The sequence below is a fragment of the Homo sapiens genome, chromosome 5 (assembly GCF_000001405.40).
Source record: "Homo sapiens chromosome 5, GRCh38.p14 Primary Assembly".
NCBI classification, from domain to species: domain Eukaryota; kingdom Metazoa; phylum Chordata; class Mammalia; order Primates; family Hominidae; genus Homo; species Homo sapiens.
Window position 1 is genome coordinate 32,123,526 of NC_000005.10, and position 16,487 is coordinate 32,140,012.

Genomic DNA, 16,487 nt, shown 5'->3' on the forward strand with positions numbered 1-16,487 from the left:
TTTTGCATGCCTATTCTGTCTCTGTCAGGGAAAGGAAGTGCCCAATTAAGAAAGAAACAATTGTAGCTGAATGCCATCACTGTTCCTCAATCGCCTTAGCATTAAAAGCTCGAACAGTTAGTAGATAATGTGACACTGAGCGAATTCTCCTCTGAGATTGTTCTTCACAAAGTGAAGATAGTAACTGGAATTTGGGGAGGTAAAAATGAGATATAAAATAGCATGCGCTTAGTAAGCTTCTGTTAGTACATTGTACCAATCAGGTTATTTTAAGGAACACTCAGCCAATTACAAAACATATGAAGCCACCAAAAAAGAAACAGCAACTACTACTTCTCTACACAATAGATATCTATGTAAAGGCTTTTAATCAAAGTGGCATAAACCCGTGGAAGTACTGCTCTTAACACAGACAATACTTATTTCCATGGAGTCACATCATTCCTGCTTTCAAGAGGACTGAAAGCAACAATATTCCATAGGACAAAGAGTTCTTGATAACACCACTACAACCCCCCCGAGATTTTACTACTCTTCTCCTCCTCTGGAAATAGAAACACACTGAAGCTGGGGCCGCACACAGGTAGAGCTAAGTGTGCACTCTGGTCTAATGCAAACACTGACAGAAGTTCAGGTGAGGTCCTTTTCCCCCTTGCTTGGGAATACTGATGCTGCTGATGAAGTGAATACCTCAGAAATCTATTACCTCACCTCTAACATCTTCTCAAGTGAAAAACAGGAACTTTTCACTCGATAAGAAATTCCAGTATACTGGTATCAGTTTCCCAATATCTACTTTATGGGAAGACACTTTAATAGTTCCTACATGTAGTTACCACCAGCAGTATCATTTTTGAAGGTAAAGAAGGTTACTCCAATGGATAGAAAAATCTGTCTTTTTTCCATGCATTAAAACTGGGGCCTTGACCAGCCCCGTTTTTGCAAATAAAGTTTTATTGGAACACAGTCTAACCTATTTATTTGTATTATCTATAACAGTTTTCATTCAGTAAAGTTCAGTAGTTGCAACTGACACAGCTGGCGGCTCACAAAGCCTAAAATATCTACTATCTGGCCCTTTAAGAAACCCAAGCCCTGCATTAAAATATTACAATGCTACAGTAAGTAACATTTCATTTGAAAGAAAACTAAATGAGAATACAAAAACACAAATGACATGCTTGCTCTGATTCAGGCACTTTCAAGATCATTGTTTATTTATTACTTCAGATAAAAAGATAGTATACATATTAGGGAATCCCTTAAAATTCAACTCTAGAGTTATACACCATCTAGTACTTTTGCAATGAATGTTAACAACAACAAAAAAAATCTCTAAACACCTGAAAGCCCCACTATTAACATGGACTATGGTAATAAAAAATTTTGACATTTAATTTGTTCAACATATAGTATTTACATTATGAAACCAATGGTGATGATACAATAAAGTGATAAAGAAATAGTAAAAATAAACTTTAAAAAGCAAAGGTTTATAGTCTGACAATGCTAATTATCCTAATTGTATATAAAAAATTAAAACATAGAGCTTTCTGTTACAAAATTCTTAATCCTCTGGGTTGTAATCATTACTTGCTACCAATTTACATGCAACATCTGCTAGGACTGACATTTGATTTTTTTCCCCAAGAATGTGTGAGTAGATAAATGACATTTCAGAGCAGATATTAATTTACTTGTGGACAGAAAAAGAAACTCAAGATTGGTACTGGTCACAAGCCTCTTCCCAATAGAAATTATAAAAACAGTAAGATAAAATTTAAAAAAAATCTAACAAGGGGATGCATAGGCAAAGAGTACCATAAATGGCACAGCTCAAAAAATCCCAGGACCAATCAGACACACATCTTTTCTCTCTCCTTCAGCGACAAGAGGTCGATTTTGCCATCAAATAACCATGATTGAAGCAAGCGAGGGGCACCAGGTGTACAACTGATTAGATCTTGCAAAATACTAAGATGGGAGCAGGGGTGGCCAGAAGAAGGGGTAATTTATATATAATTCAAACTATATACAGCATAAATGGAATGCAGCCCATCCCAAACTGGCTCTGTGAAACAATTGGACCTTTATAGTTAAAATTATAACAAGTGTAATAATACAATAGATTTACATGGGAAGCAAAATCCAAGGGACATTTTATATTAAGTATTTACTGTGCTGTTTCAATTTAAAAATAATTTTGCTAAGTATACATCTCAACTGAAGTCTATGTAAAAAATGTCCTAATAGATACAGATATTTACCTTTGGTGAGTTGAAGGCCTTTTTGTGACTTCTGTCTGAACTGTAGGCAGAATGCTAGATGTACATGCACATATGGAGAAACTCAAGCTGAGGTCATCCAAAAGCTGTGCGTATGAGGAGGCTGGAGGTACTTTGAAAGTCAAAGTAGACCAGAAACCCAAAACAGGTAACAGTGAGGATGGCAACAGGGAATGGAATGCCAATATGGCAGTAAAACTTTTTTTAAAAACAGAAAGAGGAAGGCCTCTCGTACCAGCAGAATCCTGTACACGTACAAAAAAGAAAAAGCCACCCACCATTTTGTAAAACAGAAGCCAATTATAGTGTGGGAAAGTACAAATTACAGAAAACCAGAAGTCAACAGAAGAAAAACTACTGGTTTACTTGAGAGAAAGGAGAATGGTTCACCCCGAGCAGAGTTACTTGGTGAACGCCGCCACCACCGCCCACAGAACCTCATTGGTGTTGGCCTTCAGACATTCCACTTCAGGGTCTAAGTCGAGAAGCTGCCGCACTCTCTTGGTAGCCAAATCATACTGCTCGTCCAGAAGAGGAGCAAAAGCATTCTCCAGGACGTCCGAGGCATGAGCCAGGTAAATGAGGGCCAGCAAGCGCCTGTCCATGCGGTGAGGGTCATTCACCCATTTGTCAAGAACGGCTTCCTGTACTTTCTTGATGAGGCGCTGCTTAATGTTGTTATTGGTGAGGGGATGTGTTGTCATGTCAAAAAGTAGGAAGTTCTGTTTCTCTGTTGTCAATACACCCTTTTCCACCAGGTTTTTAGCTAATCGTTCCCGTACATTTCTTAACTGATAATGCAATTTTAATGGATTCCATGTCTCACCTAAACAAAAGATTTCAGAAGTTAGAAATGATGAGTATTATCTGCTAATTTTGCAAAAATTTTGTACTATTAAACAGTAAAATCTGATTTTGCCCCAAGAAAAACAGAAGAAAATCTGCCATGTTTTTCTCCCTAACTAGACCATGAACCCCTTAAGCCTAGCCAGACCTTTGGATTCTAAGCACCCAGCACATCCTCAGCCACAGGAGTCACTCAGACGACTAAACTGCAAGCAGTCTTCAGACCAGAGTCAGTAACCCTTAGTCTTATGTGGAAATGAGCCAAATATTATGTTTGAGCTTCCTTCCAGCTGAAGTCAAAAAGCAGCCAATAGCCAAATAAGTTTTCTATTAAACACCAGTCTGCAACTAATAGACTAAAAAAAAAAGCTTCCTGATTAATATGTTATTCCTGAAACTGCTACACATATACAGCCTATAGAGGTAGGAAAGCCTGTTTAGGCCATGCTATTATTTGATAACAATATAAAGCTAATTCTGGAAGGATACAAATTTTCACAATTTTAACCTTGCCATCCATACATATTTCCTTTTGAGAGAGAAATATTTAAAATAAAACCAAACGATTTTTCACTAAAGTGGGTTCTTCTTTATAGAAAACTGGAAGGAAATACACCAAAATATTAATCTTACTTATCTTTGGGATTATGTGTGCTCAACTTTTTTTGTGCTTTCTGCATTTTCCAAATGATCTCCAATGAACATGCAACTATTTTTATACTTAAAAAAACTATATTTTTCTAAATTAGAATATGTTAAAGATCAACCACAGGCATCTTTTTTAAATGCAAACGTTGTAAGGTCGAGATTTTCTAATACTGAGAGAAAACCTTCAGCCACACTGTCCATTACAGGAGCCATTACCCACATAGAGCTATTTAAATTAATTTAAAAATTCATCTCTTCAGTGGCACTAGCCACATTTCACGTATACAATAGTGACGTATGGCCAGTGGCTACACCCCACAGGAACAGAACATTTTCATCATCAAAGAAAGTTCTAGCGGACTATCTTAAAATTTTAAGTTGCTGTCTTAAAATATATTACCATTCAACTGGACAGAGACACAATTATTTTCCTATACTTAATACTAAACAACATAGGCCTATGATGAAGTAATCATTCCTAAAGCTGCCCTCTCATTGTAATTAGAAATCTCCATAAAATATACGAAAAAACTGTTTTCAGACACTAGTCAAAAGCAGCCCAGAACTGTGACACTTGAGTGCAGCCTATGTGAGCCTGACAACTGCCTAAGCTTACCACCTAGAGGCACGTCCCAGGCAGCAGAGCAGGCAGGAAGAACCCAAGCAGAGCACAGCAGTCCCATCACGTTAAGGCAGCAGAGATCAGAGTTCAGGGTAGCTAAGGCAGCTGCAGTGTGCAAAGCAGACTACTGGAGAAGGGGGACCTACACAGATAAAGAGGTCTAGAAATCTGCAAGGTGTTCCTTGAGTCTTGGGCTGAAAGCTAAAGCTACATGTGTTAGGGTGAGAAATTCCACAAAGCTAGGCAAAGAACACCTACCAGAAAGTGAACAATTCTAAGAGTTCAGTAGAGCTGGGAAAAATGTGATTGCCAACTAGCCAGAGAGCAAAAGCCTCACTAAAAACCAGGACATTCAGAAGGAATACTAGAAAATTCACATCTTAGTAGTAGGGCTAAACCAGTCCTAGAGTATAGACCACCCTAGACATGCCCTAATAAAGATTAAAAGCGGCCAGGCGCGGTGGCTCAAACCTGTAATCCCAGCACTGTGGGTAGCCCAGACGGGTGGATCACCTGAGGTCAGGAGTTCGAGACTAGCCTGGCCAACATGGTGAAACCCCATCTCTTCTACAACTGCAAAAAATTAGCCGGGCATCGTGGCAGTTGCCTGTAATCTCAGCTACTCGGACGGCTGAGGCAGGAGAATCATTTAAACCGGGGGAGGGCAGAGGTTGCAGTGAGCCGAGATCGTGCCATTGCTCTCCAACCTAGGCAACAAGAGTGAAACTCCATCTCACAATTTAAAAACAAAAACAAAAAATTAAAAACAAGTTGATCCACAAGTAACTTAGCTGCCTACCAAGACAAAATTCAACACTCTTTAAAGAAAGACCATAAAATTCATCACTTAACATTCACACTGTCCAGCATCGAAGTTAAAAAAAAAAAAAAATCACTAAACTTGCAAAGCAGCAAAAAAGTGACCTAAAACTAGGGGTAAGGGGGGAGTCAACAGAAACAGTCCCAGCCTGGGCAACATGGTGAAATCCCGTCTCTACAAAAAATACAAAAGTTAGCCGGGGCCAGGCATGGCGGGTTACGCTTGTAATCCCAGCACTTTGGGAAGCCAAGATGGTGAAACCCTGTCTCTACTAAAAATACAAAAATTAGCCAGGCATGGTAGCAGGTGGCTGTAATCCCAGCTACTCGGGAGGCTGAGGCAGGAGAATCGCTTGAACCCGGGAGGCGGAGGTTGCAGTGAGCCGAGATTGCACCACTGCACTCTAGCCTGGGTGACAAGCACAAGACTGTCTCAAAAACAAAAACAAAAAAACCCCCAAAAAACAAAACCAAAAAAACCCTAGTGTCCTAGTGCAAGTCATCTTAATCTATTTCTCCATTTACTCATCTATAAAGTGAAAGTAACAAATTTATCAAGCTCATAGGGCTATTACGAGGATTAAATATCAAGTTCTTAGAACGAAGCCTAACACATGGTAAGCTCTCAGTAAATGTTAGCTATTATTTGCCCATGTGCAGAATAAACATTCTGGCAGAATTTATAGTATTTATAATGTTCTAAGAATCCTGTTAGGTACTGAGAATACAAACATTAGGATATACTTCTAACCCTGTAGGAATTTAAAATCAAGTGAAAATAACATTCATAATATATTACATATTAGAACTAACTATACTGGCCAGAAGAAAATGGGAATAGGGCCATAAGAACAAAATGAACAAAGTGCCTAGAGGAGTAAGAAATGACTCTGGTTTAATGTTATGGGGTATTTCATAGGAAAGTTATAGAAAAAAAGAATCTTCAAGCTAAATCTCGAAATCCAGCAGGATTCACCACATCCTACGAAAGGGAGAGAAGCCTGAATTCCAGGCAAAAGAAACAACAAAGTACATAGGCAGCAGAATAGAATAAGCCCTGGAGTAGAGGCACACATCTTTCAAAAGTGTGTAACTTCCACCCTTTTTTTTTTTTGAGACGGAGTCTCACTCTGTCGCCCAGGCTGGAGTGCGGTGGTGTGATCAGGGCTCACTGCAAGCTCCGCCTCCTGGGTTCACGTCATTCTCCTGCCTCACCCTCCCAAGTAGCTGGGACTACAGGCACCTGCCACCATGCCCAGCTAATTTTTTGTATTTTTAGTAGAGATGGGGTTTCACCGTGTTAGCCAGGATGGTCTCGATCTCCTGACATCGTGATCCACCCACCTGGGCCTCCCAAAATGCTGGGATTACAGGCATGAGCCACCGCACCCAGCCACTTCCATTTTTTTATAATTGTGTAAACCCAATGTCCCACCAATAAATAACTGCTGCATCTTTCACTAGTATGAGTTTTGCTTTTTCTAATGTCAATGGCAGGTGTTAGGCAGCCTAAGACACTAGGCTGGAATTGGGTAACTATTGTGTTAAACGACTTAGGGAAATTTAAACTAATGCAACATAAAATAATAAACAGCCAAACTTACATAAAAGCCTATTTAAAAAACTACAGTTCAATCCTAAGATTAATTAATTATGTAAAGAATAATTTGTTGTTATCAAAGAAGTATTATCCCCTATCAACTCTAATTTGGTATCACTGACTTAATATGTTTATGTTGTCACAAAACCTAAGTATAGCAGAATAAATGACTCCCAAGCTATCCATTTTTATTTTACCTTCCCAAGTCAAATAGGAAGGAATTCTATACTCCAGAGACATCTTAGCCAAACAACATCTACTGCCAAACAACAGAGGGGAAAAAAAAGTCAAGAAACGAATTATTCTGAGAGATCTACAGTTAAACTTCTCTTTGCAGCTTTCCACTCCCCACCCAAAAAAAACACCCCCTCCCCTATACACACATCCCTCTAATGCTGTTCTACAATATTTTTTTTTCTCATGGGAATTAAGTGGGATTAATAGTTTATGACTACTGTCTCTTATACTGAACTTATGCTAAGGTTTATCCTCACCTTATCCTTAGTTAAAACTTACATATTGCAACCAGTGGAAATACATGCTTAGTAAATTTTACAGAAGTTCCTGTGGAAATTTCCCAATTCCAAAGTATACTAACTTACAGTTTAATGTTTCTACTAAAAATTAGAAGAGCCTAAACACAGACCACCTTCAAATAAAGTATTCCACTTATGACTGGCCCTTCCTACTGGCAATCATTTCTGACTCAAAGGAAGCAATAAAAAGGGACCCAGCTATCATCTTCTCTTGTAGCAATTCCCTGGGAAGAGGGTAAACCCCGTGTGCTCACTCCAACAAATAGACGGTTATTCAGATCTCCTCAAGTATTAGAGAAAAATAAAGAAATCTCACGAGCAGAAGGCTAAAACTGTGAGGAAATATCCCAAATGTTGTTTAATAGTATTTGTGGTATAGAAAAAAGGCACAAAGTAATAACCAAGTGGTCAAAGTATCTTGGTATTCTGGAATTTCTGCCTTTTATTTTCGAAGAACTAAGCTAAATCAAAAGAATAAAGTCACACCTGAGTTTAGCGTAAGTAAGACATCAGTATAAGTGGGATAGGAAGACAATAGATGGATTTCTGAGGAGAAGATGCAATAAAAGTTTAGCTTCTAAAGATTTAGCTACTTCAATTTTTAAAAGTGAATACTTTTTAAATACTTTGAAATAAATGCTTGATAAATGAATAGTTCTTGAATTCTAGATTAAAAGACGTTACTGCGATCCATGCTGTTAGTCCTCAGTCCCTAAATTATTCACCATATATGTGAAAAGACTTTACAAGTTATACAAGCAAATTTAAAATGTAATGAATCTATTCATAGTTTACTTTTTTTGGTAAAGGAAATTGTGAGAAGTAAATACGGAGAGGAAAAGTTCTTCAAAGATTATTCATGTCCACTGCCCAACAATCACTTTGGTGGAGAATGACATGCTGACAGGTACCTAAATCATTTCACTGCAAAGAACACTTATCTTCCTTGACATCATCTTACAAAACTAAAAGCAGCTTTGGCCATAAATTTGGCAGTGTAGTGATTCCTTGTGACCAAACTGATCAACCATGCCTTAAGATTTCAGAAGCTAAAAACTATTCTTAAACAGTAGTCTTAGCCTGGGCAACATGATGAAACCCCATCTCTACAAAAAAATACAAAAATTAGCTGGGCGTGGTGGCACATGCCTGTAGTCCCAGCTACTTGGGAGGCTAAGGCAGGAGGATCAACTGAGCCTGGGAGGTCAAGACTGCAGTGAGCTGTGACTGCACCACTGCACTACAGCCTGGGTGATGGCGAGACTTTGTCCCAAAGACAAAACAAAACAAACAAAATACGTAGTCTCTCGACTTGCCTCAAACTTATGTATACTAATTTTAAATTATTAGAAAATGTTTAAAATTTATCAAGAGTTTTAACATGTATACATGTACAGTATAAATAATAATAAAATGAGCCCCTGGGTATCCTCCACCCCAGGTAAAGAAACTGTTCTTTATTAAAACATTCCTTGGCTTCACGGCAAGGAATCCCTCTGAACAAGTATATTTCTTTCTTTGCATCTCATTCTTACCCTTCAAAGGCCTAATCTAAGCTCCACTTCCTCTTGTAACTACTAAAGTTCCCAAGGATTTTTCTTTTCTCTGAACTACTGAACTTTCAGAGAACCATACTGTCAAACTCTCATCTGTTCTATCAAATTATTAGATGTATAAAACTGTTCCCCAAATGGATTTTAAGATTCTTTCAGTCTGAGAGCACATTTTAAATTTCATAGCACATATGTCATTATTGGTGCAATAACTGGTGTTTGATACCACATATTATATTGAAGCAACAGAAAATTTTTAAAAATCTAAAAATCAGCAAGCTAGCCAAAGAACTGTATGCTTAAAAATGGTAAAAATGGTAAAAGTTACATTATATATATTTTACTACAATTAAAAAATCAGCAAGCTGGTATCTTGATACTTTCAATTAGGTGGGAAATAGATATTTTTTATTTTCTTCTTTTTACATGTTATTTGCCAGGAGATTTTTTTTAATTTTTTTAACTTTAAAAAAAGTCCTTTTTCCTCCTTCTCCCACTCTGGATTCCCTTCCTTTATTCTGAAGCAGCAGCATTCCCAATGTATGTCAAGAGCAAGCAACTCAAGTGCTACAGGCAATGTTCTGGCATCAACAGCCAATCTAAAACTCACAGGACATTGTTTTTTAAAAAACCTTGCTAAGTATTAGTTTCACATTTTACCCAAATTTCTAATCCAAACAGACAGTGCTTTACAAAATCCTAACTGTGTTTACATACTTGTGAGAAAAGCTTTTAGACTTCTCATCTTTTCACTGCTTAATCAAGTGGGGACAGTGCAACAGCAGCCATAGGTGAGAACCAAGTTCAGTTAGCATTTATATTGATAAGCTTCATTTACAAAATGTTACTTAACAGGTTAAGTGTAAGATGCATTTCAGTAACAGGAAAGTGAAGGCAAAGCCCACTCTACATTCCATAAAAAGAATCTTTAACACTGTAACACATCTAACAAAAAAAGTCACCACAACTTTGAGAAACCCTTCTTTTGGTCAGCTGGGAACCAAATTACAAATTCTAATTTGCAACACCAGAAGCAGTCATGGGCCAACACTGGCAGCACAACATGAGAAAGATCCAAAGACTGGTTAAGCCAGTGCTCTGAAAACAATGTACAAAATGATCCATCACAGTATAAACGTTATTAGCAGTTCTATTTCTATTTTAAAACATTATGTTTACTAATATTTAACATATAGAGTTGACATTAATGCCCTGAGTCTCTGTTAGATGGCTGCATGTCACTGACAGGCATACATGGGAGGCTAACTCAGACAGCATTGACAATGTGATGGGTATTTGTGATGATTAAGTGAATTTGCTGATAATATAATCTAGTTTTAACCAAACAAGCCCTCATCAAATGGGCAAAGCAATTTTAAAAGATTCTTGCAAAAGAAATTACAACTGAAGACAACTCTAATAAGCATAAAGGGGGGAAAGTATAAGTCAGAGTTACTCTCAATGAGATAAAAAGGAAAATTATCAGAGGTAGAAGAGGGTTATCCAACAAAAATGCAAATTTATCAAGAATACGTTTACGTTCTTACCAATAAGAAAAAATAATGAACCTTGCCTTAAGTGTAAAGTGCCCATTATTGCCGTTAGCTAAAAATGGAGTGTATGTACTTAATTTTTAAATAAACAAATAAATATAGACTGAGCATGGTGATTCATGCTTATAGTCCCAGGGCTTTAGGAAGCCTTGATGAAGCACCACTGGAGGCCAGGAGCTCAAGACCAGCCTGAGCAACACAGCAAGGTCCTATCTCTACAAAAAATTTTTTTTCTTGAGACGGGGTCTCACTCTGTCACCCAGGTTGGAGTGCAGTGGCATGATCTTGGCTCACTGCAACCTCCGTCTCCTAGGCTCAAGCGATCCTCCCACCTCAGCTTTCCAAGTAGCTGGGACCACAGGCATGTGCCACTATGTCTGGCTAATTCTTTTGTGTTTTTTGGTAGAAACAGGGTTTCACCAGGTTGCCCAGGCTGGTCTTGAACTCCTGAGCTCAGGAGATTCACCCGCCTCAGCCTCCCAAAGTACTGGGATTACAGTAATGAGCCACCATGCCTGGCCAAAAAATAAAATAAAAAAAAAAAAAAAAAACTCAGCGAGGCATGGTGGCACACACCTGTAGTCTTAGCTACTCCAGAGGCTGAGGCAGAGGCTGTGGATCACTTGAGTCCAGGACTTAGTTCAAGGTTATAGTGAGTTAGGATCATGCCACTGCACTCCAGCCTGGGCAACAGAGTGAGACCCTGTCTCTTAAAAAGAAAAATATTTATGTATACATATAAATAAAATCAGCTGGTCCAAGTACAGCAGTTATTTACAGCTAACTGATCACAAGTTAGATTTTTTTGTTCCCTCCCACTCCCACTGTTTCACTTGACTAGTCCCCCAACCCCTAAAAAAACCTCTTTTACTGACAGAAGAATAATCCAATAGGACTTTTATAAATTCTGCTTATCTGTAAGAAAACTCACATCATGTTAATACACAAATAACTTTAATATAAACGTCACAGTCCTCCATGCTATCAGCCAAACTTTTCACGTTCTCCTCCCTAAGGTTGCACTTCCCTGTCTCCTTGAAGTTAGGGGAGATTGTGTGATTTGCTCTGATCAATGAAACATGAACCACATGTCATTTCTAAGCAGAAACTTAAGAGCCAGAGTGATGTGCTATGGTATTCCTCCTTTTATTATAGTGACTGATACTGCTCCAGGTGGCAGTGGCTCCATCTGCCTGGCTGCCAGAGTGAGGATGAGGTAGCCTGTGACTGACTTACAGCCTGAATGAGAAATAAATGGTTGTTTTAAGCAACTGAGGTTTTGGGGTTTGTTACCACCACAGCTTAACCTAGCCTATCCAGATTAAGGTAGCATGTGGTAATTTTGATAAAGAACATGGGAGCTCTAAGAGTATTATCTTCGCATTCTATATCTGTTCAGTATTGTTAAAGAGAATGAAATTTTATAAAAACCATTACTTCCCCACTCTATGACTGATAACTTTCAAGTTTGCCTAAATAACTAAACAAGCTTCTGGCTATTTTGTGTAGGTTCCTTTCAAAAGGATTTAAACTTCGCAATCTTTTAAACAGAAGTTGGTTTTTGGTTTATTCACAGCAGCTTACCACTAAGTAATTCAATCCAGTTCTGGACCGTTTCTGGAGGCTGAGTTTCCTTAACATGCTTCAGAGCTTCATCAAGAAGAACATCCCCTGTTGGAGCATCTGACTTACAGATTACCTAAAAAGAAAGCAAAAAGAATGAAAGGATCCACGAATGCCTTTTCTGAGTTGATCTCATTAAATGAAAAACAAACAATTATATAAATAATTCATTATGCTTAAAGCCTCAAGCTTTCATGTAGTATCAAAGTTCAGATTTTAAATTACTTTTATGTTAAGGAAATCCAATATTTAACCTAACCAGATTAGATATAATAATGAATGAAAATTGGCTAGACTCAGTAGCTCATGCCTGAATCCCAGGGGGAGGCTGAGGCAAGCAGATCACTTGAAGCCAGGAATTCGATACCAGCCCGGCCCACATGGCAAAACCCTGTCTCTACTAAAAATACAAAAATTAGCCAGGTGTGGTGGTGCACGCCTGTAATCCCAGCTACTCGGGTAGCTGAGGTGGGAGAATCATTTGAACCCAGGAGGCAGAGGCTGCAGGAAGCCAAGATCACGCCGCTGCACTCCACCCTGGACGAAAGAGTGAGACTATCTCAAAGAGAAAAGAAAAGCAAGCTACTGGCCGGGCATGGTGGCTCACTCCTGTAATCCCAGCACCTTGGGAGGCCGAGGCGGGTGGATCACCTGAGGTCAGGAGTTCAAGACCAGCCTGGCCAAAATGATGAAACCCCATCTCTACTAAAAATACAAACAATTAGCTGGGCGTGGTGGCAGGTGCCTGTAATCCCAGCTACTCTGGAGGCTGAGGCAGGAGAATTGCTTGAACCCAGGAGGCAGAGGTTGCAGCGGGCCGAGATTGTGCCACTGCATTCCAGACTGGGCAACAAGAGCAAAACTCCGACTTAAAAAAAAAAAAAAAAGCTACTGTGCAATAATTAGTAAAGCAACATACTAGGACAGTTTATACTCACTGACTCATCACCGAACCTTGGACTATGTGATCCAGAAATTCATTTAAGCATTATTATTAGTCCCAGAAATAAGACTAAATTATATTTAAGAATTCAGTACAGGCTGAACGTCCCTAATCCGAAAATCCGAACTCCTTCAAAATCTGAAACTTTTTGAGCACCAACATGCATCCATTGGAACATTCTGGATTTTAAATTTTGAAGTCAGGAATGCTTAAGTATAATACAAATATTCCAAAATCCAGAAAATTCCAAAATCTTAAACATTTCTGTTACCAAGCATTTCAGATATAGGATACTCAATCTTATATTATAAAGGTGGTATTTCACATCAGTGAAGAAACAAATTTTTAAACAAATGTCATTAAAACTTGCTAACAAATTATAGAGGTAAGAAAGGTTTCTTGGTTTCTTTTTTTTCTTTTTTGGAAATGGAGTTTTGCTCATCACCCAGGCTGGAGTGCAGTGGCGCAATCTCGGCTCACTGCAAACCTCTGCCCTCCCCGGTACAAGCAATTCTCCTGCCTCAGCCTTCCAAGTAGCTGGAATAACAGGTGTGTGCCACCACGCCTGGCTAATTTTGTATTTTTAGTAAAGATGGGGTTTCTCCATGTTGGTCAGGCTGGTCTCAAACTCCCGACCTCAGGTAATCCACCCACCTCGGCCTCCCAAAGTGCTGGGATGACAGGAATGATCCACTGCACCTGGCCCTGAAAGGTTTCTTTTAAAATTGTCCCGACTAGCAGAAAGCTTAAAGAAATTATCAATAGCGTTGATTACATAAATTTTTTAAATACTGCAACTTTTTTTTAAAAAAAGCTACACTGAGGCTGGATGCAGTGGCTCACTCCTATAATCCCAGCACTTTGGGAGGCCAAGGCGGGTGGATCACCTGAGGTCAAGAGTTTGAGACCAGCCTGGCCAACATGGTGAAACCCGGTCTCTACTAATAATACAAAAATTAGCCAGGTGTGGTGGCGCATGCCTGTAAACCCAGCTACTTGGGAGGCTGAGGCAGGAGAATTGCTTGAACCCAGGAGGTGGAGGCTGCAGTGAGCTGAGATCGCACCTTTGCACTCCAGCCTGGGCGACAAGAGCAAAAATCTGTTTCCAAACAGAAAGCTACATTGAGATATAGAATCCATTTTAAAAGTGGAAAAATCCAGAGGGAGAGATGGGAGGGAAAATGTTACACCGCTGTAGACAAGTATTAGAACCCTATAGCCTTCATTCACGTTGTTGGCTAAGCTATAAGTTTCTAGTTAAAATTCCATAATATCAAAATTAAATCCATTGTATTGTATTATTTTATAATGTTAGCTATTTAAATGTCATAAAATTTAACATTACGGTTTTTTTTGTTTTTTTTTTTTGAGATGGAGTCTCACTCTGTTGCCCAGCCTAGAGTGCAATGGCGTGATCTCAGCTCACTGCAACCTCCGCCTCCAGGGTTCAAGCAATTCTCCTGCCTCAGACTCCCAAATAGCTGGGATTACAGGTGCACACCACCGCATCCGGGTAATTTTTGTATTTTTAGTAGAGACAGGGTTTCATCAAGTTGGGCAGGCTGGTCTTGAACTCCTGACCTTGTGATCTGTCCACCTCGGCCTCCCAAAGTGCTGGGATTGCAAGCATGAGCCATCGTGCCCCACCAATTTAACATCACTTTTAAAATGCTGAGAGTCCTCTCTTAAACTTGTCCTCAAAGTGTCCTTTACTTTGTCAATCTTATAAAAAATTAAAAATATATACATACAGTATCTATCTCTGTGACATCATGACCAGCAGAAATATAAAAACCACAGTACAAGTCACAAATCTATTCTTCAATTTTATTTTATTTTATTATTATTATACTTTAAGTTTTAGGGTACATGTGTACAACGTGCAGGTTTGTTACGTATATATACATGAGCCATGTTGGTGTGCTGCACCCATTAACTCGTCATTTAGCATTAGGTATATCTCCTAATGCTATCCCTCCCCGCTCTTAAATTTTCTAGTAGTTATATTTTAAAAGAAAAAAAGGCAAAATTAATTTTAATATTTTGATTTAACCAAATACAACCAAAATATTAACATGTAATAAGTATTTTTAAATTGAGGTACTTAATATATTTTTCCATACTAAGACCAAAAATCCAGTGTATCCAGTGTATGTTTTTACTAACACCATGTGTCAATGTGCAGTAGCCAAACTTCAAGTGCTTAAGTGTCTGGCTCATAGATGTATGTAGCTAGTAGCTACCATATTGAACATACAGATCATTTTCATCATCAAAGTTCCATCAAACAGTGCTATTCTAGACCATGCTTTCAGTGAAGGGTGAGAGAGCACAAGAAAATAAAGAAAGCAGAGCCTCAGGAGAAAAAGTTACATCTAAATATGGTGGCCATTGCCACCACTTCTTACGTCCCACTCATTCTTTATATTTATTGCAATTTGGCCTCAAAGCTCGCCCACGCACATCCGTTTGCAACGGATCTTATGTCAGGGACACCAGAGCCTGGGTATAGTGAATCACTTTTTCTTATGAAGTTCTGTCCTCTAAATCTTTCTGAAATGTTTCACTTTTCTCCATCATCTTGCCAATATAGTCGGCCTTCCATATCTATAGATTCAACCAATTGAGGATCAAAAATATCCAGGAAAAATAATACAAATTTTAAAATGCAGTATAACAATTGTTTATACAGCATTTACATTGTATTAGGTATTGTAAGTAATCTGGGGGTGACATAAAGTATAGAAGAGGATGTGCATAGGTTATATGCAAACACTACAACATTTTATATAAGAAACTTGAGCATCCAGATTTTGATATTTGAGGGGAGTCCTAGAACCAATCGCCCACAGATACTGAGGAACAACTATATTCTAGTCTGCCTAATCTGGCTGTTTTTCACTTGGATTAATTTAAGCCTCTTAACTAATTTCCCTAAACAAGTTTTAGCCTTTTCAATCCATTCTCCTCACTGATCTTTCTAACAGACAAATCTTACCATGGCATTCCACTGCTTCTGCTTACAACTTTTCAATGACTCGAGTTAGTTCTAAATTCCTTTCAAAAATTCAGTAGTAAGTGTGGTTCACAAATAAATATGTTCTATCCAAACATATCATTTTTATTTAGCTTCTTTTTTTGGGGGGACGGGAACCATTCCTAAATATAAACAGACAATCACGGATAACGTGAAAGAAAGCTTCCAACACAGAAGAGATCAAAAAGAGAAAATAAGAACTCTGAAGAAACAGATATAATACAGATAAAGGAAATTTTCAAAAGAGGTGTGATACCCTCAGAAATCTAAAAGAAGGTATTACATCCATAAAACAAACTACGATTTTTAAAAAGGAAGCTCATGGAAATCAAAAACAGGAGAGTCACAATAAAATCTCAACAGAAAGGTTAGAAGACAACTCTTTAAGAGTAGCCAAGAAGTCCGTATCCAATTTACAGAGT

General features: G+C 38.5%; 1 protein-coding gene across 1 annotated transcript in view, besides 1 other annotated feature; it reads right to left on the reverse strand.

Moving 5' to 3' along the window:
* Positions 1-1,190: 1,190 nt before the first annotated feature.
* GOLPH3 (golgi phosphoprotein 3) overlaps positions 1,191-16,487 on the reverse strand; it is a 49,604-nt gene continuing 34,307 nt past the window's right edge. Inside the window, exons 3-4 of the mRNA NM_022130.4 lie at positions 12,047-12,161; positions 1,191-3,111 (exon numbers count right to left, since the gene is read on the reverse strand). Coding sequence (NP_071413.1) covers positions 2,687-3,111; positions 12,047-12,161 — 540 coding nt within the window. The 3' untranslated portion in view covers positions 1,191-2,686. The remainder of the gene's footprint in view (positions 3,112-12,046; positions 12,162-16,487) is intronic.
* Positions 2,119-3,318: an enhancer, noted in NCBI's record as "CDK7 strongly-dependent group 2 enhancer chr5:32125750-32126949 (GRCh37/hg19 assembly coordinates)". NCBI's record gives its function as "activates an origin of replication core promoter dependent on BRD2, BRD4, P300/CBP, MED14 and CDK7 cofactors, with strong dependence on CDK7, by STARR-seq in HCT116 cells {active_cell/tissue: HCT116}" and the evidence as "EXISTENCE:reporter gene assay evidence [ECO:0000049][PMID:35650434]".